The sequence below is a fragment of the Homo sapiens genome, chromosome 2 (assembly GCF_000001405.40).
Source record: "Homo sapiens chromosome 2, GRCh38.p14 Primary Assembly".
In the NCBI taxonomy this organism is placed as follows: domain Eukaryota; kingdom Metazoa; phylum Chordata; class Mammalia; order Primates; family Hominidae; genus Homo; species Homo sapiens.
In genome coordinates, this window is record NC_000002.12 from 6966690 (window position 1) to 6993461 (window position 26772).

The window sequence follows — 26772 nt, forward strand, 5'->3', positions numbered from 1 at the left end:
TTAGGGGCTATTTTCAGGAGTCCTGAAGCGACTTCAACTTTAATAGGATAATAACTGAGCAGAGTGTTCTGTGAACAGGATAATTAGGAAGTCCATAGTCAGGGCAGCAGCACAAGCTTGTGCACTGAAGGCGATTCTTGAGCTGCTGTTACTCCTGGTGGGGATTTTCTGTGGCCAGGTCTCTGGTTATATATATATCCTGGCCACTTCCACCCGGAAGCCCTCCTGATCCTTGAAGATCCATGCTTCTCCCCTGTACAGACTTCTTTTCCCGACTGACCTTCCTCTCTTGGCTTTAGCTTTAGTGCATTGGTTCATGGTGTCAGTTTTTACAGCCATCGACGCAAACCATTTTGGAGACAACTTTGTCTCCTCCCCACATACCATCCCCCATATGCCTGTATGATGTTCTCCCTTTCCGTGACTCTCCCAGCAAGCCTTTGCTTCTCCAGTTTCCCATGGTCACCCGCCGAGTCAAGGTTCTTATCAGTTCGTACATGTGTGATAATGAACTTTACCCATCACTATGCATGTAGGTCATTCTTCCTCCAATGAGAGTTTATTCTGACAAATTACTATAAATCAAGCTTTGAAAATGTTATGTGAAACATGTAATTCTTCATCTACAGAAGACGTAGTTCGTTTGTCGTCTGCTACAGAAAACTTCCCTTGGGGCGTGTGAGCACCAGTGTTATGGGGGAAGAGGATGAGGGTGAAGGGAACCGGCCCAGGGTCTTGTTAGTATCCCATTGTGCCCCACCCTTGCCCCTTTCTGCATGGGGACTTTGAGGAGCCCCTCAGCCTCGCCCTGTGGCACCCTGCCCTGGAGCAGCCCCCAGTCTTGGGAGACAGAGTTGGTAGATCTCAGCTGCTGCTCCCTACTTCTGGGTAACTGAGGCAGGGGTGTGACAGTGACTGTCTGAGTCCTCCATGGGATTAAGCATCCATTAACAGTAGTGACTGCGGTGGTGAATCCTTCACTTGTACTTCATTCACTTCTTCACATCTACAACTGTTTCCTTGGCTCAAGAAACTCACCTACTAAATAAATCACTTGCATAGGAATCATTGTCTCAGGCTCTGCTCTTGGGGAAGCCAAATTAAGATACTTCCATAGACTCCTTTTTTTTTAATGTGTAAAATGAGGGAAAACTCAAAAGCTCGCTGGAAATATCAAATGAATTAAAAGTTCATGAACATCCTTGCAAACCCAAAGCACTAAGCTACTTGACTTTGGAACTCCTGTTTCAGTGGACCTTCTGTTAGCATTTTAAGGAACAGTGTTTTTTTTCAGAAACGGGTCACTGCGTGTAATGAGTTGTTGATATCTATGGAGTAGGGGAAGTGGTGTCCTCTTCAAAGGATTCTTAATTCTATGGGATTTGGCGTCAATTGCTTTTGAATGGTATGTCTCTTCTGCTCATTAGTCCCAGAATGGTATCACGTAAAACAGCCCAGTGTGGGCAGCCACCCTGTCCTTGCTGATCCTTCCTCAAGGACCTTCTCTTCTCTGGGCCACCCTTGAGAAGGCTAGGGGAGGTATGTTCTAAACTCTTCTGGTGTTCCGTATTTGCATTTGAAGGTACAGAAACAGAATATCCTGCAGGATGAGTTGCAAGTTAAAATACGTGGGCACAGTACTTTCTTCTATTATTTTGGTTGAAGGAGGGGAACAGTGAACACTTCGGGCCCAGAGCAGGCAAGGTTAGAACAGACTCCTAGTGGGTGCAGCTGGCTTTGCCAGTGGCTCTTCACCTCCTCAGCTGGGACAAACCACTGATTTATTCTGGGAACATGAACACGGCTCCAGTAATTGAAATGTGTTCTTGTGGCTGCAGCAGTCCTGGGGGCCTATGCCTGCTGGCCCATCGCCTGGTCTTGAAAAGAGCTTTGCTCCCCCTACTGGGATCAGTCTATTCTCATCACAAGAAACAAACACATTTGAGAAAACAAATCCTTTTCTCCTACCATATAAAATAACACCCAGAATTACCTGTCAATGTGTTTTTTTTTTTACAAATTTAGCCACAGTGTCTTGAAAAACGCATCAACTCTTCTTCAGGGCAAAGCAGGCACTGTGAACTTGGCGAGGGCATTGCCAGTGTCTCTTGGCATCATCCTCCTCAAGCATGACTGGTGGTCAGAGCCCACGGTGTTCTCAGGTGTTGTGTGTTCAGGCTGTCCCATGGAGTCCCTGCAGTGGCAGTGAGAGGCTGGTGAAATATGGGGGTTCCTGCTGGTCAGATGAGGTCTCGGGCTCAGAGCCGCACCTCAAGAGCGCAGCATGTGGTCTCAGGGTGCACCCTGGTATACCGCCTCTTGGTCCAGGGCTATAGCCAATAGGTTAGGTAATACCCCATCCTTGGGGCTAAATATCAGTAGTGATGACAATAATGATGGCCATTCCTGTAGTGCATCAATGCCATTACAGGCCTTGTTAGTAGGGTGCCACATCTGTTAACTTATTTAATCCTCATTATTCTAAATGGTGTTATAGGCTTAACTGTATCCCCTTAAAATTTGTATGTTGGAATCCTAACTCCCAGTACATCAGAGTGTGACCTTATTTGGAGGGAGGGCCTTTACAGTGGTAATCAAGTTTAAATTAGGTCATTGAGGTAGGCCCTAACCCAGGATGACTGGTGTCCGTATAAGAAGGGGAAACTGGGAGACAGAGATACACATAGAAGGAAGATGATATAAAGAGAAGACGGCCACCGACAAGCCAGGGAGAGGGGCCTGGAGCAGATCCTTCCTCCCAGCCTCAGAAGGAACTGACCCTGCCCACACCCTGCTCATGCTCCTGCATCTTCCAGAAGTGTGAGAAAATACATTTCTGTTATTGGAGCCACTCAGTCTGTGGTGTTTGTCACTGCAGCCCCAGGAAACTTTAATAAAAGTACAGGCTGAGCATTCTTAAACCAAAAATTCCAAAATCTGAAATACTGCAGAGTATGAAACGTTGAGTGCTGACAATGCCACAGGTGAAAACATTCATATTTGACCTCAAGTGACGGATTGCAGGCAAAATACAGTCAGTCTTCCTTTCATGCACAAAATTGTTACAAATCTTTTTGTTTGTTTGTTTGTTTCAGACAGTCTCGCTGTGTCGCCTAGGCTGGAGTGCAGTGGCATGATCTCGGCTCACTGCAAACTCTGCTTCCCGGGTTCACATCATTCTCCTGCCTCAGCCTCCCCAGCAGCTGGGACTACAGGCGCACACTGCCACGCCCGGCTAATTTTTGTATTTTTAGTAGAGACGGGGTTTCACCATGTTAGCCAGGATGGTCTCGATCTCCTGACCTTGTGATCCACCTGCCTCAGCCTCCCAAAGTGCTGGGATTACAGGCGTAAGCCACCGCGCCTGGCCAAATCTTTTATAAAATTATACCTTCAGGCTATGTGGGTATAAGGTGTATATGGAGCAAAAGTGAATTTCATGTTTAAACTTGGGTCCTGATATGGTTTGGCTTTGTGTCCTCACCCAAATCTCATCTTGTAGCTCCCATAATTCCCATGTGTTGTAGGAAGGACCCAGTGGAAGATGATTGAATCATGGGGGCGGGTCTTTCCCATGCTGTTATCGTGAAAGTCAGTGGGTCTCATGAGATCTGATGGTTTTAAAAACAGGAGTTTCCCTGCACAAGCCCTCTCTCTCTTTGCCTGCTGCCATCCACGTACAATGTGAGTTGGTCCTCCTTGCCTTTCACCATGATTGCGAAGCCTCCCCAGCCATGTGGAACTGTAAGTCCAATAAACCTCTTTCTTTTGTAAATTGCCCAGTCTCTGGTATGTCTTTATGAGCAGCATGAAAACAGACGAATACACGTCCCATCCCCAAGATATCTCATCAGGTATATGCAACTACTTCAAAATCCAAAACACTTCTGTCCCAAGCATTTTGGATGAGGGCTATTCAACTGGTACCATTTTCCTCATTTTATACAGGAGAAAACTGAGGCCTGGAGAGGGAGGAACTTGCCCAGGTCCCTTCAGAGAGCAGAGGCTGTGGTGGACAATGAGCCCAGGGTCTGTCCCAGTGTCCACACCCTCGGCCACCAGCTTCACCAGGCAGTGACTTGCACCTGCTTTCTGCACAAGGCACAGGACTGCATTATTCTCACCATCTGATGGCTTCTCCAGTGGCCTAGTCCTTCCTCCTGCAGCCCTCATTCCTGTTTGAAGTTTTGAATCAAATTTGTTGCCTCCAAGGCATGGCCTGCATAAAATTTAGTGCACAAAGTCATGTGCAAAACTAAACTTTGAGAATATGAATTTTGTGCACTAAAATCACTCGTCTTTACCTTGCTTTCCTTATTTGACACATTTTTCTTACTTGTTTTTCTTTTTGCAAAGTGTAACATACACTTTGTAAAATAACTGGCAAGTATAGAAAAACAGAAATACTCAGTGACTGTGTCATTTTACTTTGTGGTGTGTGGTTACTGGGTTTCCTATTGTTCTTTGGCCTTGTCCTTGTTGCAGGAGCTCCAGCTGGTTGGACAGTAACCTCTGGCTGGGGAGTCTTGCCCAGGCCTCTTGGGACGGGTGTGCTGCCTGCTTTAATATTCCTTCAGTTGTCTGGTTCCTTGAGTGGGCCTACCTTCTTTTGACTGGGAGCCCCGGTAGGGATGGTAAGGATGGCCAGGGTGTGGGGTCCCAGTGATCAGGCTGTCTAGTATACGTGGTGATTCCAGTCTTCTTCAGCATATCTGCCAGAAGGATATTAAATGTTGCAAAACTAAAATATGGAGCAAACCAGGTCATGGGTGAGTTAAGACTGAATAACAAATTGCATTTTGAGGTGGGGTCTGGTAGAGAGCATGCTGCAGTTTCAGGATCAATGAGAGATTTTTCCTTAACCTTTCACTTTTGCAGTCTTCAGCTGTGTGGAACTGGCTAACATGGGGCAATCAGTTATTCTAGACACAGACAGCTCTGGCACGTGTATGGGGAGCGGCAGCACTGCTTACCTGGGCCTTGGAATCCTGTCCTCTGATGTGCCATGTATCTGAGTGACATCAGATGAAGTCTTGGACAAAGGGACTCCCTGGGCTCTCACTAGTTCTGACCATTTTGTTTTTGGCATGGATTCAACTCCCAGTTTCCAGTGACCTAAGCCTGCTTCTCTGCTTTTCAGTGGGACCTGGGATATTTCTCTACTGTGGGATAAGATAGTATACAATGTTTATTTCTAGATTCCTGATTTTGTTCTTTTGAACCTAATGCAGTTTCCTTTCTAGTCTTTTCTTAATAGTTTGCAAAAAGGGGGAATTGCAGATTGGTTCATGAATGGAGATCCTTGGAAGGGGAGTCCCATTTCTTCTCACATAGGCCCCTGGGGAGGAATTACTGTCTCCCCCCAGGGTTCCGATCCAGCCCACAAACTTATACAAGTAACTTCAAATCAAGCTGAAGCCACCTAAACCCACCCATTTCCCTTGAAGCCAGAGCAACAGCAAACAGCAGAGTGGATTCTAGGCTTAACTGGTCTGCCTCCTCTTCTTTCCCTCCTCCTCATTCCAGGTTTGAATTGTGGGCACACACTCAGTCATTTGCCAGGCAGGTCTGCAGCAAGATTGAGTGACAGTCTGAGATGCTGCTGTACTTCTTTGTTCAACTGTCAAACTTTGGGAGATAACTTTCCTCCTAGCTACAAAAGGGAGATTATATAACTTCTTATGCTAACCCCCACTTACCCTCTTTAACTGCACATGGCTTCGTGTGTTTATCACTTATTTTTTCCTTTTTAGAATAATTTTTCAGGTGGATTGGGTGGAACGGAAATAGCCCCGGGGGGTTTGTTCCTTGAGCTAATTGCTGTTTCTTGGAGTGGGGCTGTGGGATTGGAAGATTCCCCTTGACAATCCTTTTCCTTTTTTGGTTCCCTCTCTTCCAGGCCTCTCTGGCACATAAACCATCTTACCTTAGAGATTTACTGTTTCGTACACATGTTTCGCAGGACCATAGCTAACAAGGCTGCCAGCTGTGTCTCAGGGTTGTGTTCCACCCTGGGGGTGCAGTGCATCCCAAGGAGTCCAAGGACTGCGGTTCTGTTCCTGAGCCACGTCCAGGCCCAAACTCCCAGAGAAAAGGACCTACAGAGGCTTGCATCTGGCAAAGCAGAAGATCCGCAGGGAAGAGTTTAATTCTTTGCTAGAAAGGTGCATGCCCTCTAACAGTGGGGGTAATAGTTATAATAATGGTAGACACCAGCACCAGTGAAGCCCAAGAGATGGTCACGTTTATGGTTTGAAGAGTAGGATTCTGGAGCCAGGTTGACTCTGTTTGAAGCTAGGCTCTTGACATTTACTAACTTTGTGACGTTGGACAAGTTGGGGAACTTTAAAGCCTCTATTTTCTTATCTATGAAATGGGGATGAATATGCCTGCTTCACAGTTTACTGAAGGGATTAAATGAGGCAATATACAACTAATGCAGGTTCAGATGGTGCCTTAGTAACTGGAGCTAGTGTTAAGTGTTGGCGATTTGCCTACGTGGTTGAGTGTCCGAGCTGGGGTTCAAACTCAGTGGCTTCTGATCCCAGAAGATGCACACTTTTCAGTATAGGATGTTGTGTCTAATATTAGACTCACGTGGTGTCTTAGGATCTTTGGATAAAGAGACTTAGGTGCTTATCCTAAAATTGTCATTAACTGTTTAACCACAGATAGTTGGGTTAATTTTATTGTACTGCCTCCATTTCTCCTGTGTATATCGGCATGTAAGGCCCTCGTATTGCCATCAAACACGCAGATTAAATGCTGATGGAAGGTGGCCCGGGTAGCAGGTCCTCCTGGTCACTTCACAGTACAGGGCGGGCATCTCTGCAGAAGGCCAGCCTGGCAGCACGGTGCACACTGGCTGCAGGAAGATAGGCCAGTGAGGATGAGGTTGGGAAAGGGCTTCACATCAGGCCTAAGTCTTTTGAGTGGAAATGGAATTTTAGGAAAATTAACTTTGTTCCAATATTTACTAGAGAAAGGAGAAGATTGGAATGGTGATACGGATTTTCACCACCCCTAGAAAATCATCAGTACCCACCATAGGGGTCAGCATATGGTCCATGGGCCAAATCCAGCCTGCTGCCTGTTTTCATAAATAAGGCTTCACGGGCACACGGCCATGCCCGTTGGCTTACGTGCCGTCTCTGGCTGCTTCGTGCTCCAGCATCAGAGAGGTCTTTTCTACAGAGACCCCATGATCCACAAAGCCTGAAATATTTTCCATCTTGCTCTTAGCAGGAAGACTTTGCCAGTCTCTGGTCCACACTGTTACTGGACTTCAGGATAGCACATTGTTCACCACAGAAGGAAAGATGTGGAAATTAAGAGTAAGTGAGACTTCTGGAGGATCTAGATTTTTAGGCTATGGCTCATGCTCATTAATTCATCTTAGATTCGTCATTTACCAGCCCCACCTAGTTCGCAGCCTGTAAAGTGGGAGGGTGGAAGTTACAGACTTACCTGCTCTCCAGGAGTGCTGAATAGTATTGATTTCTCAAGAAAGGAGAATGGCAGTTGTAGCATGATTCTGCACATTGTCAAGATTATGGCTGCCTTATGACCATCGTGCCACATGCATTCTAGTTTTCAGAAAATAATTAAATACAGCATTGTGGTTCAGAGCATGGGGCTGGTTGCAGACTGCCGAGATCCATCTGCCGTTGCCGTGTCCGTGGTGGTGTGATATTCAACAAGCTTCTTAACCTTGGTGTGCCCCAGTCTCCTTGTACCAAATGGGAGATAATAATACTACCTCACTAAGCTATTGTAAGATTAAGTGGCTTATAAGTTGGTGCACCTAGTAAGATCTTAAAACATGTTAGCTATTATTAGTGCATAATTCTTGTTTGAATTAACACTGCTTTTTTTTTTTCTTATGGGAAAAAGACAAGCCTCCCTGAAAGGCTGGCACTGTGAAAGTAAGTCAGACTTTACTTAATTATTGTGAAAGTAAGTCTTACATTCACATTGCCGTGAGCTGACCAACCTTGTTTAACTCTTAGCTCTTGACAGGCAGGTGCATCAAGGGTGTTGCATTTTTTGACAATAAAATACATTTCAGGTTTTAAATTAAGAAGAGACATGTAGGGGAGCTGACATATGCTGACATTTTTGGAACTCCGAGTTAGCTCAGAGACAAAAAATTAATTAAAATATTATTTGGAATTTTTTTGGTAATTTATACAATACTAAAATACATTTCCTAACCTTCTTTGAGTAGCCAAATAGATGTATAGAATGAGTAGGCATGATTGCTTGGTTATAACCGGAAAAGAAGTTAAGAGACCATCTTTTTATTCTGAATAATTATAATGGCTTTTATTTTTATTAAAATCTTTGTGATTTTTAAATATTCATGTGTATTAGTCCATTTTCATGCTGCTAATAAAGACATACCCAAGACTGAGAAACTTACAAAAGATAGGTTTAATTGGACTGACATTTCCATGTGCCTGGGGAGGCCTCACAATCATGACAGAGGACTACGAAAGGCACATCTCACATGGTGGCAGACAACAGAAGAGAACTTGTGCAGGGAAATTCCCGTTTGTAAAACCATCAGATGTCGTGAGACCCATTCACTATCACAAGAACAGCACGGGAAAGACCTACCCCCATGCTTCCCACCGGGTCCTTCCCACAACATGTGAGAATTATGGGAGCTACAAGATGAGATTTGGGTGGGGGACACAGAACCAAACCCTTTCAGCCTGTGATTCACACTCAAACTTCTTTAAAGGTATATATTGAGAATCCAACTGCCACCTGTGCCTGCTCATTCTCTCCACTGCCCAGCCCTCCTCGCCATGTTAAGTAACTCCTTCAATGAAAATCTTGGATATTCGGCCAGATGCAGTGGCTGATGTCTGTAATCCCAGGACTTTGGGAGGCTGAGGCAGGCACATTGCTTGAGATCAGGAGTTTAAGACCAGCCTGGGCAACAAGTTGAAAGCCCATCTCTGCAAAAAATGCAAAAATTAGTCAGGTGTGGTTGTGGCACAGGCCTGTGGTCCCAGCTACTTGGGAGGCTGAGGTGGGAGGATCACCTGAGCCCAGGAGGACAGTGCTGCAGTGAGCCAAGATTGCACCACAGCACTCTAGCCTGGGTGACAGAGCGAGACCCTGTCTCAAAAAATGAAAGAATCTTGGATATCCATGCAGTGTTTATGTGAATACAAATAAGTACACAAAGTTTATCGTAGGATATATGCTGTTCTATGCTTTGCTGTTTTCACTTAACACATTTTGCAGATCTTTCCATTTGAATGGATAGAAGGCTTTTTCATCCTTTCTTCAGCGGCACAGTATTCCATTGTGCAGACCTTCCATGGTTTAGTCCACAGCCTGCTACTTGAGTTATTCCCAGTCTTCTGGTATTACAAACAAGACCCCAGTGACTAACTTCCTCCACTGGGCACATGACTGGAAGTGGGATTACTAGGTCAGTGGGTACATGTAGTAAATCTTTGGTAGATATATTGACATTTTCCCCATTTCATGTGTTATATCATTTTGAACTCCAGCCAGTAAGGTGTGTGAGTAATGGTTGACCTACAGCCTCCCCCACAGGGTTTGCGAAATATTTGAATTTTTGCCAACTTGATAGTTGGGGAATGGCATCTTGATATAGTAAGAGTGAATTTCTCTTCTTATAATTGTGTTTGTTTGAGGGCCGTTTTTCTTTTCCTGTGAATTTTATCTCGTTCCTTGATCGTTTTTTATTCAATTGTTGCTCTTTTACTTCTCAATTTATAAAGTTATGTATGTATTAAGGAGAATAACTCTTTGGGATACATTTTGCAATGTTTTTCGTTTTGTTATTTATTGTAACTTTCTTTGGTTTGCAGAAGGTTTTGAAATTTATATATATATGAATTTCATATATATAAAACTATATAAATTTCATATATAATGATATATGTCATATATACATTTCATATATATAAATTTATTATATATACATTTCATATATAAACTTTATATATAATATGAATATTGCACAAAGAAAAACAGTTACTCCTCACTCTCATAAGAAATGATTTTGTGTGAGTATGTACTACCCTTTCCTTTGTCTGTTGTACCATCATAATGAACAGATGGGGTTTATGCTTACTTTTCACCTACCAAAATTATACCAAAAGGCTATTGGTTAATCCTGCAAAATGTCATTCTATAATACATATTCTTCTTTTTTTAAAAAAACTGGTCTGATACGCCTTTGAAAATATTATATTCATGCACTTGCAGCTTTTTAATATTACAGACAATGCTGTAATCCACATTTTCATGCCTGCAATTATTTGTTCAATGGATGAAATTCCCAGAAATTGGGCTTCTTGATCAAAGGATTAAAAAAATTTAAGTTCCTTGATAAATATTACGCATTGCCTCTCAAAAGTGTTAGTTCATTGTATGTTACCATTAGCCATGTTTATTGCTTTCTCTAAGACTATAACCAAGTTATTACAATTTTTTAAATGTTCAGTTGATTTTATAGGTGGAAAATAAGCCCTGTCGTTCTCCACATGAGTAAAGCAGGATGCAGAGAGCTTAGGAGATGTGCCAAGATCCCAGGGCTGGCAGGAGGCAGGCCCAGGGCTGGAAGCCAGGCCTCCTTGTTCCCAGGAAGGGAAAGTTGCGTATGCCTTTTGAGTTAATGACACGAAAGCACAGACAACTGGACATGGTTCTTTTGAACATCGTAACATCAATTCATTGGGATCAAATCAACACTGAGCATCAGTATTCAGTGTTTAATGCACATTTTAATTTCACTGCAGAGAGGATCGCACCTCATTACTAGCGGTTATTGAGTCACTACTCAGTAAATATTTACTTTCTACGTGTAGTACATTATACCAAATAGTTGATATTATATGGGCATAAAATGATCTCTGTTACTGGGAAACTTCTGGTGCAGGAGAAGCGGTAAACCTTTTATTGCTGTTACAGGAGCTTTCTCCCAGGCAGCGAGCTTTAGAGTGTCCATTAAACTTTACTGACCAATTTTTTATGGAGCACTTCCTCTATGCTTGCACTGTTATAAATTCTTGGGATAGAATAGTGAACCCAGCAAATAAAAACTACTGCCCTCATTGGGGTGTCTATTCTGGAGAGACAAAAAGAACATAAAGGAGAGAAATAAGTTACACAGTAGACAGTATTAAGCCTATTGTTTTAAGGAGAAAATGAAAGCATAGATGGTAGTGAGTGTCGGGGGGAGCTGTTGGGGAGTTTGCCTTTAAGATACATCACCCTGGAGTCACTGGAAGTTTCCATCTGGGAGACGTCTTGTGAAATAGTGTCCTTGGTGGGTATGTGGTCAGCTTGGGGAACCCATAGAACTGCATCACAGCCTCACTCCTCATCCTCAACAGGGGCTAGTAGACCAGGAGAGGAGAGGAGGTGTGGGCACCCTCGTGAGGTAAAGGTGTCTGTGGTCCTGCATAGCTCTGGAGGACGTGGACTTCTTTCTGGAATGACAGGAAGCTCCTAACAGGACTTTATGTGTCAGAGGCCTATGATGGCCTGTGAATGTGGAAAACATGGTTGGATATGGTGGGTTCTATTGTTTTTGGTGCTGTAATTCTATATTAATGATGCTCAAGTGACCAAGGACTTGTACTCTCTTAACAGCACATAGTCCCATTAGGCCCATTATCATTTCAACAAGATCCTTCCTGGGAACAGACTTCTAGACAGCCCATGTCTTTTCTTTGTGACTGGTGCCTCCAAGCTCAGGGACACCTTATAAAGGTTCCAGGGGTAAAAACCCAAGTTCGAACGTGGGGCTGGGAATAATTACTCCACACAGACTTGTGTTATTGTGGGTATTCCCAGCAGGAACGTTCCCCGCCTTGAAGACTCTTCCCAGGTTGCCGGGGTTTTCTTGGGAATAATTTGAAGTTGACATCTCTGTTTCCTTCCAGGAAAGGTTGCATCAGTTTATGTGATCATGTTCAAGTCCCTCGAGGTTGGACTCAGAACCAAGCTGAATGCTCAGGAAACAAGTAGGCTGGTTCTGCAGTCTGAGCCTGGACCCTGTCTGTTTGGAGGCTTTCCTTCTCTCTTTGTGAATATTCTCTTTAGAAGAGAGCTCTCTTTCTGCACCTGTGGGGATCATCACCACCATGTCAGAACTGAGTAAGTTCTGTGGTTTGTTTTTATAGCTAACAGAGTTTCCCATTGTTGTCCAGCAAAGGGATGGAGCACTGGATGGGTGAGGATTGGCATCCAGAAGAAAGGGTGGCATGAAGGGTCCACGTATCTCTGCCCAACTTCTGGGCTGCCTCTCTGTCTCATGAGCTCATCTGCACTTGGTGGTCTCTGCAGCCAGGGTCAGAAAGTAGAGAGACAGGAGCAGCCTTGTGTGTTTCCTGAGTGCCTATTGGAGTCTAAGTTCTAGAATAGTGGGCGAGGGGCTGGGATAGGGGCTCAGCCTTGTGGATCTGAGGGATGTTGGACAGAGATGTCTCTTCTGAATGAGTGGGAGGCGCTGCTGTGGGTTGACCCTGAGCCTGTGGTCTTCAGTCTTGGCCAAGGCTGTAGGGATCACGTGGACTTCCTCACAGGGAGGGTGGGAGATGCAGATGAGATGAGATATTTTTTTTCCTGGTTATTAGGACAGGCAGTCTCCAGCACTGGCTGTGAGGGAGGCAGAGGTGCCTTCTGTGTGATTATGATTGGGGAAGTTGAGCACTGGATTTATCTCTGCATCCTAGCCAACTAAATGGTCTGTCATTGCCATTGTTAAACCAAAGACCTGTTTAATACCTAGAAGACTCTGTGATGAAACAGACATTCTTCTCAGGTGTGAAAAGTTAAAAGAAATCATTAGCTTTTTTTTTTTTCCTGAGGGTGGCCTCTTTAGTATTTCGAAAGGTGAAACAATCAGATTAGCAATTACATCTTTGGTGGGGGACCAGAAGTTATTGTTTATGAATGAGCCTTCCAGGCTCCACAGAAGCCTCCAGGGTGATGTGTACATGAAAAGAATGTGGGGTTCATAAGTTGAGAGACTTAGGTTTAAGTTCTGAATTTGCCACTTATTACCCAGGGACTTTGGGCAAATTGTGCATCCCTCTTAAACCTCAGTTCTTAATCTGTTACATGAAGATAATTGAGTTAATGTATTAGTTCATTTTCACACTGCTGTAATGATACTACCTGAGACTGAGTAATCCATCAACAAAAGAGGTTTAATTGAATCAATTCTGCATGGCTGGGGAGGCCTCAGGAAACTCACAATTATGGCTGAAGGTGAAGGGGAAGCAGGCACCTTCTTCACAAGGCGGCAGGAGAGAGAGCACATGCAAGAGAAACTGCCACTTTTAAACCATCAGATCTCATGAGAACATCTCAATATCATGAGAACAGCCTGGGGGAAACTGCCCCCATGATCCAGTCACCTCCTACTGGGTCTGTTGTCCCTCAACATGTGAAGATTACAATTTGACATGAGGATTTGGGTGGGGATGCAGAGCTAACCCATGTAATTCCACCCCAGCGTCTCCCAGATATCGTGTCCTTTCCACATTTCAAAACCAATCATGCTCTCCAACAGCCCCCCAGAGTCTTAACTCATTCCAGCATTAACCCAAAAGTCCAAGTCCATAGTCTCATCTGAGACAAGACAAGTCCCTTCCACCGAAGAGCCTGTAAAATCACAAGCCAGTTAGTTACTTCTAAGATATACTGGGGGTACAGGCATTGAGAAAATATTCCCATTTCAAATGGGAGAACTTGGCCAAAACAAGGGGGCCAGAGGCCCCATGCCAGTCTGAAATCTGGCCAGGCAGTCATTACATCTTAAAGCTCCAAAATCACTTTTGATTCCATGTCTCAAATCCTGGGCATGGTGATGCAAGGGGTAGGCTCTCACGGCCTTGGGCAGCTCTGCCTCTGTGGCTCTGTAGGGTACAGCCGCTGCAGCTGCTTTCATAGGCTGGCATTGAGCGCCTGCAGCTTTTTCAGGTGCCCAGTGCAAGCTGTTGGTGGATCTACCTTTCTGTGGTCTGCAGGACAGTGGCCCTCTTCTCACAGCTCCACTAGGCAGTGCCCCAGTGGGGACTCAGTGTGGGGGCTCTAATCCCACCTTTCCCTTCCACACTGCCCATGAAGGTTCTCCATGAAGGCTCTGGCCTGCAGCAGACTTCTGCCTGGACATTCAAGCAATTCCATACATCCTCTGAAATCGAGGTGGAGGCTTCCTAAGCTTAACTCTTGCCTTATGCGCACCCACAGGCCCAATACCACGTGGAAGGTGCCAAGGCTTAGGGCTTGCACCCTCTGAAGCAATGGCCTGAGCTGTACCTTGGCCTCTTTTAGCTACAGCTGTAGCAGCTGGAACCCAGGGTGCCATGTCCCAAGGCTGCACAGAGCAGCTGAGGCCTGGGCCTGGCCCTGGCCCACAAAACCATTTTTTCCTTCTACACCTCCAGGCCTGTGATGGGAGGAGTTGCCTTGAAGATCTCTGAAATGCCCTGGAGACATTTTCCCCCATTGTCTTACTGATTAACATTCGGCTTCTTGTTATTTATGCAAATTTCTGCAGCGGGCTTGAATTTCTCCCCAGAAAATGGGTTTTTTCTTTTTTACTACATGGTCAGGCTGCAAATTTTCTAAACTTTTATCTCTGCTTTTTTTTTTAAAACATAAGTTTCAATTTCATATCGTCTCTTTGTGAATGCATGTAACTGTGTGCTTTCAGGAAAAGCCAGGTCGCATCTCGATGCTTTGCTGCTTAGAAATTTCCTCTGCCAGATACCTTAAATTATCTCTCTCAATTTCAAAGTTCCACAGATCTCTAGGGCAGGGGGAAAATGCCACCAGTCTCTTTACTAAAGCATAGTGAGAGTGACCTTTGCTCCAGTTCCCATTAGGTTCCTCATCTCCATCTGAGACCACCTCAGCCTGAACTTCATTGTCGATACGACTGTCAGCATGTTGGTCAAAACCATTCAACAAGTCTCTAGGAAGTTCCAAACTTTCCCACATCTTCCTGTCTTACTCTGAGCCCTCCAATCTGTTCCAACTCTGCCTGTTACCCAGTTCTAAAGTTGCTTCCACATTTCCAGGTTATCTTCATAGCAGTATGCCACTCCTGGTACCAATTTTCTGTATTAGTCTGTTTTCACACTGCTATAAAGATACTACCGGCCCACAGGTAGTAATTTATGAAGAAAAAAGATTTAATTGATTCACAGTTCCCCATGAGGCTTGGGAGGTCTCAGGAAACTTGCAATCATGGCAGAAGGCAAAAGGGAAGCAGACACCTTCTTCACAAGGCGGCAGGAGAGAGAGAGCGCACAGGGGAAACTGCCACTTTTAAAACCATCGGATCTCGTGAGATCTCCCTTACTATCACTGGAACAGCATGGGGGAAACTGCCCCCCATGATCCAGTCGCCTCCCACCAGGTCTGTTCATGGACAGATGAACTGGGGATTACAATTCCAGATAAGATTTGGGTGGGGACACAGAGCCAAATCTTATCATTGACTTCACATGAGTGGCAAAATATAAAGTAGAATACAGAATAGAGATATTGGTAAACCTTGCAGCTACTCGTAAGTGTGTTGCAATGTGCTGTGTGTCATTATTTGGTCAGAAGATGGGTGCATTAGGTACATGGGGACTTCTTTATTTTATCAATGGAGGGAGAGCGCCCATCACATTTACTTGGCTCCATGGTTGTGGAAGAGGAATTGCCCTCTTCACACCAAGGAAGGAGGCATTGCCTGATTCACGCTAGTATTTTTTTCTTCCTAGATAACTAGGCAATAAAGAAAATGACAAACTATAGCAATTATTTATATTCAAATAGATTTTGTAAACAGTTGGATGATAAGACTGACTCCCTGATACAGCTTAACATTTTTCCTTCGGGGAAAAAACAACAAACACATAAGCCGATGTCAAGTATGTCAGAGAACGGCTGTGGGGTAAAAGGAAGAGGGACAAGGGAGAGAGTGGTGAGAGCCCTGGCCATGTCTGTAGCAATCAGACGATTGAGAAAGTGGCAACTTCATGGATCCTGGGCCAGTGTGCTTTGGAGAACATCAAACTTGGTGACATTATTATCACATTATTGTCACAGTCATCTTCCTGCTGCAGTAACATTGGGATTCTTCGGGTTTCTGTGCTTGTTTTCTAAAAAGAGGGATCTTTTAATCATTCTCACACCTTTAGTACATTGGAAAATAGCTGAGGCCCCGTGAAATGGAATGCCACAGCTTCTGCCTAGTGGCTTATGATTTGCTTGTCATTCCCAGTGAGCTCTGGCTGTACCTAAAGGTAGAAATAAGAATCTGCAGAGAGCCTAGGAAAGGCTTTTGTCCTAGAGGTGCTGCAGTTTCCAGGTCCGTGAATAACTCGTGTGTTCTTCAATGGTATTTGCTGGCCTCTCCCATGCTTGTGCTGCTGGCTGTCAGATGTTACTGCTTCCTTTGCTAAAGATACCGTCTCCCTTACCAGGAGGACATAGTGTTTGCAAGTCTCCTTCCTTGTGTGAGCTGTTTGGCATGCTTTAAGTGGTAGAAGGGGAATTTAAAGGCTCCAGTTTTCTTTTCTATAAGAAGTCTCCTGGAAGCTGTGTGTGTGCCCTGGGCCCTCTCCCTGGCTCCACACTGTTGTCTTTCTAGAACAATCCCTGGGGGACTGTGGATCTCTATGAGCTCAGGTTCTAAAAGGAGACAGTGCTGACTTGCCCTACAGCCTTTTTATCTGGTAGTGAGGTTTACAGTCAGCATCACGCCTCTGGCCATCGTGTAGCACTGGATGGAGCCCAAATCACTAGTCCTGTCTCTTCTTCCTTTCTGATGGCAGAGGATGCTAGAGCGCTACTTATTCTTATGCAGATCTTAAGTGACATTTTCAGGATGCAGGTGGCTACAGTCCATTACTTTGGTCCTGACCTCTCACCCACTCTCCTGGAGGATTTCTGTCAGGAGTTTCCTGACTGTTTCTGAGCCTTGTACCGGAATCCTCCTGTGTGGGCCCCCACTGTGTCTGTCTACCTTATAGCAAAGGAGAGGCTGAGGCTCAGGGGGACTCGGTGTTCCCACAGCCATGCAAGCAAATGATGGTGACCCTCCTGGCATCACCACAGATGTGCTCCTCCCCAGATGTCTCAGATGGCAGCTCCGTCCTGCTGCCTACATAGGGCAGAAGCCTCGGAGACACCCTTGACTCCTCTCTTTCTCCAGCACCGATCTTGAAACTGCACATTCTGAGCAGCTTCTTTTTCAAAGTATATCCAGAATGTGACTACTTGCCATCAGCCCTATTTGTCATTGGGCCATGTTGGACAATCCCCATCTTGTCTGTGGATGGTTGCAGTTACCTCCCAATGGGCCACAGTGCTCTGCATTTTTCTGGTGCATCGGGGTGCTCAGTGCACAGTCTCAGCCCCAGCTCCCTCTCCCTGCCTCATTTTTCCACTGAGCCCGCATAGTTCACAAGCTGTGTATCTTACCGATTTATCTATTTATTTTCTGTCTCCCCGCTAGAGTGTAAGTTTCTCAAGGGTGGGAATATCTGCCTATTCTGTTCACTGTTCACATTTCCAGCAAGGAGAGCACTGCCTGGAACCAAGTTTCTTTTTTCTTTTCTTTTTTTTTTTTCCAAGAAGGAGTCTTGCTCTGCCATTCAGGCTGGAGTGCAGTGGTGCAATCTCAGCTCACTGCAACCTCCGCCTCCTGGGTTCAAGCAATTCTTCTGCCTCAGCCTCCCGAGTAGCTGGGATTACAGGCTCCCGCCACCACATCCGCGCTAATTTTTGTATTTTTAGTAGAGACGGGGTTTCACCATGTTGGCCAGGCTGGTCTCGAGCTCCTGACCTCATGATCCGCCCGCCTCAGCCTCCCAAAGTGCTGGAATTACAGGCGTGAGCCACCGCACTCGGCCCCAAGCTTCTTGAATGATTGGAAGGATGTCTCTGCCTTTTGTTGTAGCATGTGGGAATAACTATTTACTTTTAACTCATGTTTTATTCATCTTAACAGCATTGCTATACATTGGGAAAATAGGAGTGCGTAATTGTATTTATCTTTTCCTGATGGTGCAGATCCTGAATATTCCCAGCCTTTAGGATTTAATGTGGTCCTGACATGCAAGGGTGCCTCTAGCACCCAAGGCCAGGATCATTTTCCTTTCTTTGTTATTTTAGAGCATGCATGGGGTCCACTCGTGCATCCCACTGGGTTTTGTCTCCAAAGTCTGCAGATATGTTTTGCCTCCCTCACTGGAAATGTAAAGCAGCTGTTATCACCCCATAGAGTTCATTGTATTAGTTTATTCCTCTCTTTCAGTGTTTCCCATGCTCTCTTCTGTTCACTGACCAGTTACTAGAAAGCAAAGAGAAAATCAAAATAAACTTCACATAAGAAACACAGGACTTGGTGGAACAGGAAATCTTCTCTATGTATTTGAAATACATAATTTTCTGGGCAGGTGGTCAAATAAAGCTGTGGCCTAATACTGATAAATGAAAGGTGATTCCGCGGGACTTCCCCAGGTTTCTTTGAACAGATTTAGTGTCATTTTGCATGTTTTAATTCATCTCCCTCCCCCCTCTTTTTTTTTTTTTTTTTTTTTTTAACAATGAGAAGATCGTTAAAGGCAGCTGCTTTAGGGAAAAAGGGCTTTGATTATTATTATTAGACAGTGCTCCCTTGGTGGCCATTCTTCCCTGGTTGGCTTTTGTAATCCCTTCTCTAGAATAGTATTTAGAACTTCCTAGGAACCTAATTCTGGTTTGCTCAATAACTGATAATGAGTAAGTGGAAGGATTAGGGGCTTGTAAATGTTGGCATAAGGGATGGAGGAACCTCTGGCATTGGAATTGCAGGTGAGTTCTTAGGAAGGTGGATGTGGAAGGTTCAGATGGTTTAATAGACGGAATACAACTCGAGCCACACGTGTAGCATGTGCTCTGAAGTTGATCGGTATCAATGGGGTTTTCAAATTGGAAAGGATGTTTTATCTTTTGTTCTTGAGACGGAGTCTTGCTCTGTTGCACAGGCTGGAGTGCAGTGGCGCCATCTCGGCTCACTGCAAGCTCCGCCTCCTGGGTTCATGCCATTCTCCTGCCTCAGCCTCCCGAGTAGCTGGGACTGCACGTGCGCACCATCGCACCCGGCTAATTTTTTTTGTATTTTTAGTAGAGGCGGGGTTTCACCGTGTTAGCCAGGATGGTCTCGATCTCCTGACCTCATGATCCGCCCACCTCGGCCTCCCAAAATGCTAGGATTACAGGCGTGAGCCACTGTGCCCGGCCGCATGTTTTATCTTTATCACTCTCTTACTTTGAGATTGGTTCTCCTACCTGTGTGGAAGAGGCCTCTCACTGATGAGCAGAGTCACAGGTTTTCACGTGGGCAGAAGGAATGAAGGCTGCACAGGTTTAGAGAAAGGATGGCTTAGAGGACTCCCGGAAGCCAGCTGTCCCAGCCAGCATCCTCGGGTTACAGATGAGGCCACTGTTCCATGAAGGTACAGTGACAGCCTCAGGGTCACATGGGTCAGTCATTCCCAAAGCTTGCAATAAAACCCGGTTTTTTTTTTTTAAAGCTTTCGGAGGCCCATTTCCACCCGATTTCCTCCTCCCTACTCTGTTACCTCCATTATGTCTTCTTCCATTAGCTCAAGGGATTGACAAGCTCCAAACCCAGAAATTTCCCAGGCTTGTTGCTTAGCAACAAGGTTTCTGTTTGGGGACTTGAAGGAGACAGCCATTGTGCCGGGCCTGCCCCCTTGTTGAGCTGGCCAGAGGCCTGTTCCTAAGCCACCCTCAAGATCAGCAAGTACTGACCTGAAGGAACTGAAGAAACTGCAGGTGACCAAATAGACGAGTCTCCCACACCCCACAGTGGCTCTTTGTTGAACAGAGTGTGATTAAGATCACTTCAGGGCAGGGAACCCGGTGGCCCACTGCTATTCAAGGTTTATCATAGATGTCCATATATATATCTCCTGCTGCTTTTTCTTTGTGTTCTGTCTGACAGAGAGACACAGAGAGAAGAATGACTATGTCCCTAGCAAAAGTGTTGCAATAAAACATTAAGGGTGGTTCATTATCTGATAGAAGGAAGTGGGGTTGGGGTGAGGGGCAGGGTTGCTGTGACTTCTTAGCAAATCCCTAAACAGCTCAGAATGAGGGAATTATCTCTAAAAAGAAGGAGGGATGATCCAAACATCCCCCCTTCAACTCTAAATTTAATGAGTCGATGTTTGATTTTGACAGCATTACTCTCTGGTAGCCGAAGTGTAATGTTTATCTGGGCAAATACATTAGTGTTGAAATAATAGGCCCTTTGTGTCTTTCTCTGCATCTCATTCCCGGATGGGGGTCAGAACGCGTGGCTGTGTCTGGGTCCTCTGTGGGAAACCGGCCATGATGTTGAAGCCACCGAGAAACGTTTAAGTTTGTGTGTGGAGTGTTTTATCAGCACTCTGGGGAATGGCTGCATCAACTGTTTTGGTCTTAGAAATAAAGAATGAGTTTCCTGCCATGAATAGCAATTGTTTTCCAAGCCAGGTGGCCTGCAAGAGAGGCTGCCTCCAGAAGCTGGTCTGCAGATCTGCGGGGGCCAGGAAGGAGGCGTCTCGGGGCCACACCCGGGGCAGTGTTGGATGCTTCTCTAAGGTCATTTTCAGCAGGGTTTCTGGGGTGTGTGTGTGTGTGTCTCCCTGTCAGATCACAATTCTGTCCTCTCTGTGGCCCTGCTGTGGGACATACAGACTTAAGAATGCTCTGATGGGGTGGAGGGAGAAGCACAGGGCTCTGCGTGGAGGTCGCCTGGTCTACAAAAGAAAACAGTTCCATGTAAGTAGACTTTCTGCTCAATTACCCTGTATATTTTAGTGTCCAATTATGGATGCTGTCCTCTGCAGTTGAGGTGCTCCCAATGGCTGACCCTTCACCCTCACCTGCAGATGTAGGTGAAGGTAGAAAGTAGAAAGCACCCACAACCTCCACTTGGTGCCAGTCTGTGGCTGTTTCTCTAGTGAATTTGTCTCCATCTGGCCCTGTGCTCAGAAGGTGGGTGCCCTTCCTCTGGCCCCTGGGTTCTTCCTTGTTGATTGTGTATGTTCTTCTCTGTACTCCTGCAAAATCTTAATTTAGGGAAATCTGTTACATTGAAATGACTAAGAGCAGCTTTCTTTCTTTTTTTGTATTTCTTACGAAGCTTTAATGCTATGCAGTAGTGCTTGAGAAAGTGTTTTATGGGCTCCTTGGGCCCTTCTGTGTACCTTTCTTGGACTGTGATGGTATTCATTAGCATACCAAAAACCACCAGAAGTTTAAAATGCTGAAAAATAAGTGAACTAATCTGTTTAACTATATTTAATTTAGCGTTTCTCAGATTTTTCGTGTCAAAGTGTTTCGTTTAAAAATAAACTTTTATTTTAGGGCAGTTTAGATTTAGATTTACAGATTTAGTTTTAGATACAGATTTAGATGGACCGATATGGATTTAGATTTAGAAAATGACGCAGGTAGTACAGAGAGTTCCCATAAACCTCATGCCCAGCTTCTCCTGTTAACGTCTTGCGTTAGTTTAGTCCATTTGTCACAATATGAAGCCAGTACTGTTACATGCTTATCAACTCAGGAACCCTCTTCATTCCAGTTTCTTGAGTTTTTACCCAGTGTCCTTCTTCTGTTCCAAGTTCTCTCATTGCATTTAGGGGTCTTGTCTCCTTAGAGTCCTCTCCACTGGGACAGTTTCTCAGGCTTCCACTGAAGACTTTGACAGTTTTTGGTTAGGAATTTTATAGAATATTCTTGAATTGGGATTTATTTGATGCTCTTCTCTTAAGAAGACAGGGGTTATTGGTTTTGAGAGGAAGACCCTAGAGGTGAAACCTTATTCTCATCACATCCTGGTGGGGGTGAGGGGTGTGGTCACCGTCAACACCATCCATGTGTACAGTCACCCCGATGCCGTCGGGGTCACCTCATTGAGGCAGCGTTTGTCCTTTTCACGTGTGTGAGCTCCTTTTTCCACCATTTTCTAAACTACACTCTTTGGAAGGAAGTCATTCTCTACAGCCCACTTCAGAATGAGGAGTTAGGCTCCACCTCCTTGAGGGCATAGCATCTATGAAAATTATGTGGAATTTTTCTGCATGAGAGATGTGTCTTTTCCCTCATTTATTTATGTGATTATGGGCTCATGGGTATATATTTTCTATTCTGGGTGATAATTCATGCTACTCTGTTGCTCTGTTTTTTTTCAGCTACAGCCACTGGGAGCTTTTTCAGTTGTCTCCTATATTGTTTGGACATCCTCTAGCTCAACTCCAATGTCCTGCCCCAGTCCTAGAATCAGCTGTTTGTCCAGTGAACCCTAGTTTCGGTAACTGGAACATTGTGTTAGAATCAAGATCTGGGCACTAGATGTGCTTGTTGCAAACTGGGATGTCATTCCTTCTGTGCCCTGTCAGCTGCTAGAACAAGGAAACATATGTATGTACACTAACCGGTGTGTGCACACAAGTCTATACATATTTCTTTATTAGCCACCTGAATCTATATTAGGCTAAACATGGGTTCCTACTGATGAGGCCAACTCTATTCCATGACCACCCTTGCTTATCTGAGACCTTCCACTCCAACAGTGAGAAACCTGGATCCCACTGTCTACCATCCCTTTACTTATTTTTTCCATTCCAGTGTAAAGGGATAGTGGCTTCAGAACTGTTAACTCATGCCCTGCAGCAGGCAGCTTCATCACCTGGAGAATAGTGCTTATGAACTTGGCCATTATTATTACAGGTTCGGCCCATTCCCGAAATCATTCTGGTCAGCACCTTTCCCCCACCCGCTTTTAATACAGGTGGAACCTTTGTTACAGTCTGCATTCCATCCTACCATGCCCCTGACCTCCTCAATGATTTTTTTTTAAATTGCATGCATTAAGGATCACCCTTTGTAAAGTTCTGTTTTATGGGTTTTGATACGTGCAGAATGTCACATATCTGTTATTACAGTGTCATACAGAATAGTTTTATTGCCCTGAAAATGCCCTGTACTCACCCATTCAAGCCTCCTCTGCTCTCCCAGCCGCCCCCCTCCAAGCTACCAGTAACCACTGATCTGTTTGCTGACTAGGGTTTTGCCTTTTCTAGAATGTCATATAATTAGAATCATACAGTAGATACCCTTTTCTTAAAAAAAAGAAGAAAAAAGACCTTATTTTTTTACAACACTTTTAGGTTCCAACCAAATTGAACAGATAATACAGAGTTTCCATACACCCATCCACACGTACACACAATTAGCTATTAACATCCCATACCACAGTGGCACATTTGTTACCATGAATGAATATACATTGATCAGCATTCTCTCCCAGGGTTCATAATTTCCTATGGTAGTCAGTTGGGGCTGCTGTAACAGAATACCATTGACCACGGGGCTGAAACAACAGAAATTTATTTTCTTGCAGTTCTGGAGGCTGGAAGTCTGAGAGGAGGGTGCCAGCGTGCTTGAGTTCTGGTGAGGACATCCCCCTGGCTTACAGAGGCTGCCTTCTTGCTGTGTCCTCACATGGCCAAGAAAGAGCATGGGAGCTCTCTCGTCCTCTTCTTGTAACTCCAGTCCTATTGGATTACGGTCCCACCCTTACGAGCTCATTTAACCTTAATTTAACCTTAATTCCTTCCTAAAGACTATATATATTTACACACACACACACACACACACACACACACACACACACACACACACACACAGAGCTATATATATATATAATATATAATATAACATATAATATATATAGCATAGCATATATATTATATAATATATGATATAACATATTATATATATTGCTATGTATATATATAGAGAGAGAGATTGCTACACACACAAACACACACACACACACACACACACACACACAGATATATAGACTTCTAGATGTGCTAAATCTCCAAATATAGTCCCAATGGGGGTTTGGGCTTCTGCATACAAATTTGCCAGGGGGGTAAACTTTGGTCCATAGTTTACGCTAGGTTTCACTCACCCTTGGTGTTGCACATTCTGTGGGCTTTGACAGGTGGATAATGACATGTAATCACCATTACGCTTCATGCTGAATAGTTGCTCTCCCCTAAATATTCTCTGTGCTCTGCCCAATCATCCCTTCCTCTCCATGATCCCTGGCAACCACTGATCTTTTTATTGTCCTTATAGTTTTGTCTTTTCCAGAATGTCCTAGAGTTGGGATCATATGTGTGTAGCCTTTTCAGATTGGCTTCTTGCAGGTAGTAATATGCTTTTAAATTTCTTCCATGTCTTTTCTTGGCTTGATGACTTATTTTTTCAGTGCCGAATAATATTCCACTGCCTGGATATACCATAGTTTACCCATTCACCTACTGAAAGACAGCTTGGTTGTTTCCAAATTTTGGCAGTTACGGCTGAGCTGCTATAAGCATGCATGTGCAGGTTTTCATGTGAACATAAGTCTTCACATTAGCTGGGAAACTAGGAGTGTGATTGCTGGAAATAGTTAAGTTTTTATCATTGAGTGGGCATCATCTGCTTGGGAGGAGACAGCGTCCAAGTACTTTCCTAAAGCGTCATGAAGCCATACACTTGAATAAGCCAACTCTTTTACAGCCAACTTTCTACTCAGCCACAGTTCTCCAATCTCTGCTGCTGCTGACAGCTCCGTATTATGAAGATGTAGCTTTTCCCAGCCACTGCCAATCTGTACGTGCTCAAGTTAAGCCCAGGAAGCTCAGAAGCAAAACTGAAGTTGGTTTGTCTTATATCTCTACAAATCCAAAAGGCTCCATCTCATTCAGCTGATGAGGATATACAGAGGAGGTGTAGCACAGTAAATGGCTGTGTCTTAGGGCCACACAGACTGTGACTAAATAGCCCTGTATGTTTGTGCAGGTTACCCTAATCCTCTCCGAACCTTGGTTTACTCATTGGTAAAATTTGAATAATAGCAAACTATCAAAGTCTCAGAGTCATTGTGCAGAGAAATGAAGTAGTATATGCAAATGGCGAACGCAATGTCTGATGTACATTTAACAGTCTCTCTCTCTCATACATACATATATAATATATATACACACACACATACATATATATCTCTCTCATAAATACATATATATATGTATATATAATTGTTGTTATAATTATGGAATAGCTGCTGTGACCACTGTCCAGAAGGCTAGAACATAGTTCCTACCCTTGAATAATGTATCGTCAAGTTGGGGAGGTAAATTCACACATATGTCAGACTTTGAGGGTCACACTTACCCAGAAAGACTGGTGACATGGTAGACCTCCAAAGCCACACTTACCCAGAAGAAATGGGAGTTACTATGAGAGTGTAGGCCAGGGCCTTGTAGACAGGACAGCTGAGTTTTGGTATTGTTGAAGAACGGTGCACTTGGTGGGCTTCGACCCACACAGCCTTGAGTGAGATAGACTTGGTTGGAAATGCTGTTGAGTGGAATGATACTGACCAGTGGTTCTTGGGCTTCATTGTGCATCACAGTCCCTGCCAGGCTCACGGAAACAGATCACTGTGCCGCCCCACCCACCTCCCCAGAGTTTCTGTTTTAATGAGTCGGGGTTGGAGCCCAACCAGTTACATTCCAGCAAGTTCTCAGGTGATGCTGATGCTGGTGTTTAGAGAGCGCTGCTTGCGAAGCCTGGTGGACCACACACAGCAGAGACCCAGAGACGGGAGACAGCGGGGAGACGTGAGAAATCAGAGGAGACATCACACAGCACCAGGACTGATGCTGGGTGTGAAGGGTTTGTAGGGTGTGGAGAACGGGTAAGGAAGGAAAAGGGAGTTAGGCTGCAGAGGAAACATGAGAGTGTCCCAGGCAACTGGAGGAGAGCAGGGACTTGCTGGAGGAAGGCATGAAAGTAAGAGGTGGATGATGACTGGCTGGCAGCTGCCTACCTTTCCAAGGTTTGCTTTGAAGGAGTAAAGGTGGGAAGAATAGGGGCCTACAGAGGTCCGTAGCCCTGGGGCTCAGAGATGGGATAGTTTTGGTCAAATAACCACCTTGGACCTTGCAGGAATCTGCTGAATCTCTCTACAGTGGACTATTTTCTCTTCCAGCTCTCTCTTATCCTTGTGTCCACACCTCTTTCATCACAAGGCACAATCCTTTGCACGGTCTCAGTCATGCTTAATAAGTAAATTGCCTTATGCACATTTTGAATTGCTTAAATTGAATAATACTTATAATTGACCAGATGTTCCTAAAACAGTTTGCCATTTCATATGACTTGACATTCACATTAGGAAAACAAAGACTGTGCTTTCTTTTATTGTGCATTGTGATTCTCTTAGCATAATCTGATTGCAAGTTCGCAGCTGTTCGCTGTTTGCAAAATCATATTAAGGCCATCCTGTGTGTAGGGAAGGTCCATGATGGGTTTAGACAATATAGACCCCTTTTTTTTCTGTAAAATATATCCTGTTGTCACCATTTGAATCACGATTTTGAGCACAACTCAGAGACTGTGTATTCTGTTGGGGAAAGAATAGTGATGTGATTCCTGGAAATGGTGCTGTGACCTGCTTCAAATCCAGCTCATGGGGCTGGCGGGGGAAGTGGGAGGTGAGGGCCATGGGCTGACCTGTGCCCAGGGCAGGGGAAGCCACTGGGGGCCAGATAGAAATCATGGTCCAGGCAGAAAGGAAGTCAGACAGATGGAACCCTGTACGCTGTGCCAGGAGGTCACAACAGAGAGGCAGTAAACAGGAAAAGGAGCCCA

At 44.7% G+C, this 26772-nt stretch overlaps 1 protein-coding gene across 7 annotated transcripts in view, besides 1 other annotated feature; it reads left to right on the plus strand.

Annotated features, from left to right (window-relative positions):
• The window catches only part of RNF144A (ring finger protein 144A), a 158956-nt gene that overhangs the window by 49278 nt on the left and 82906 nt on the right, over positions 1-26772 (plus strand). The window lies entirely within an intron of this gene.
• Positions 6642-7841: an enhancer, noted in NCBI's record as "MED14-independent group 3 enhancer chr2:7113462-7114661 (GRCh37/hg19 assembly coordinates)". NCBI's record gives its function as "activates an origin of replication core promoter dependent on BRD2, BRD4, P300/CBP and CDK7 cofactors, and independent of MED14, by STARR-seq in HCT116 cells {active_cell/tissue: HCT116}" and the evidence as "EXISTENCE:reporter gene assay evidence [ECO:0000049][PMID:35650434]".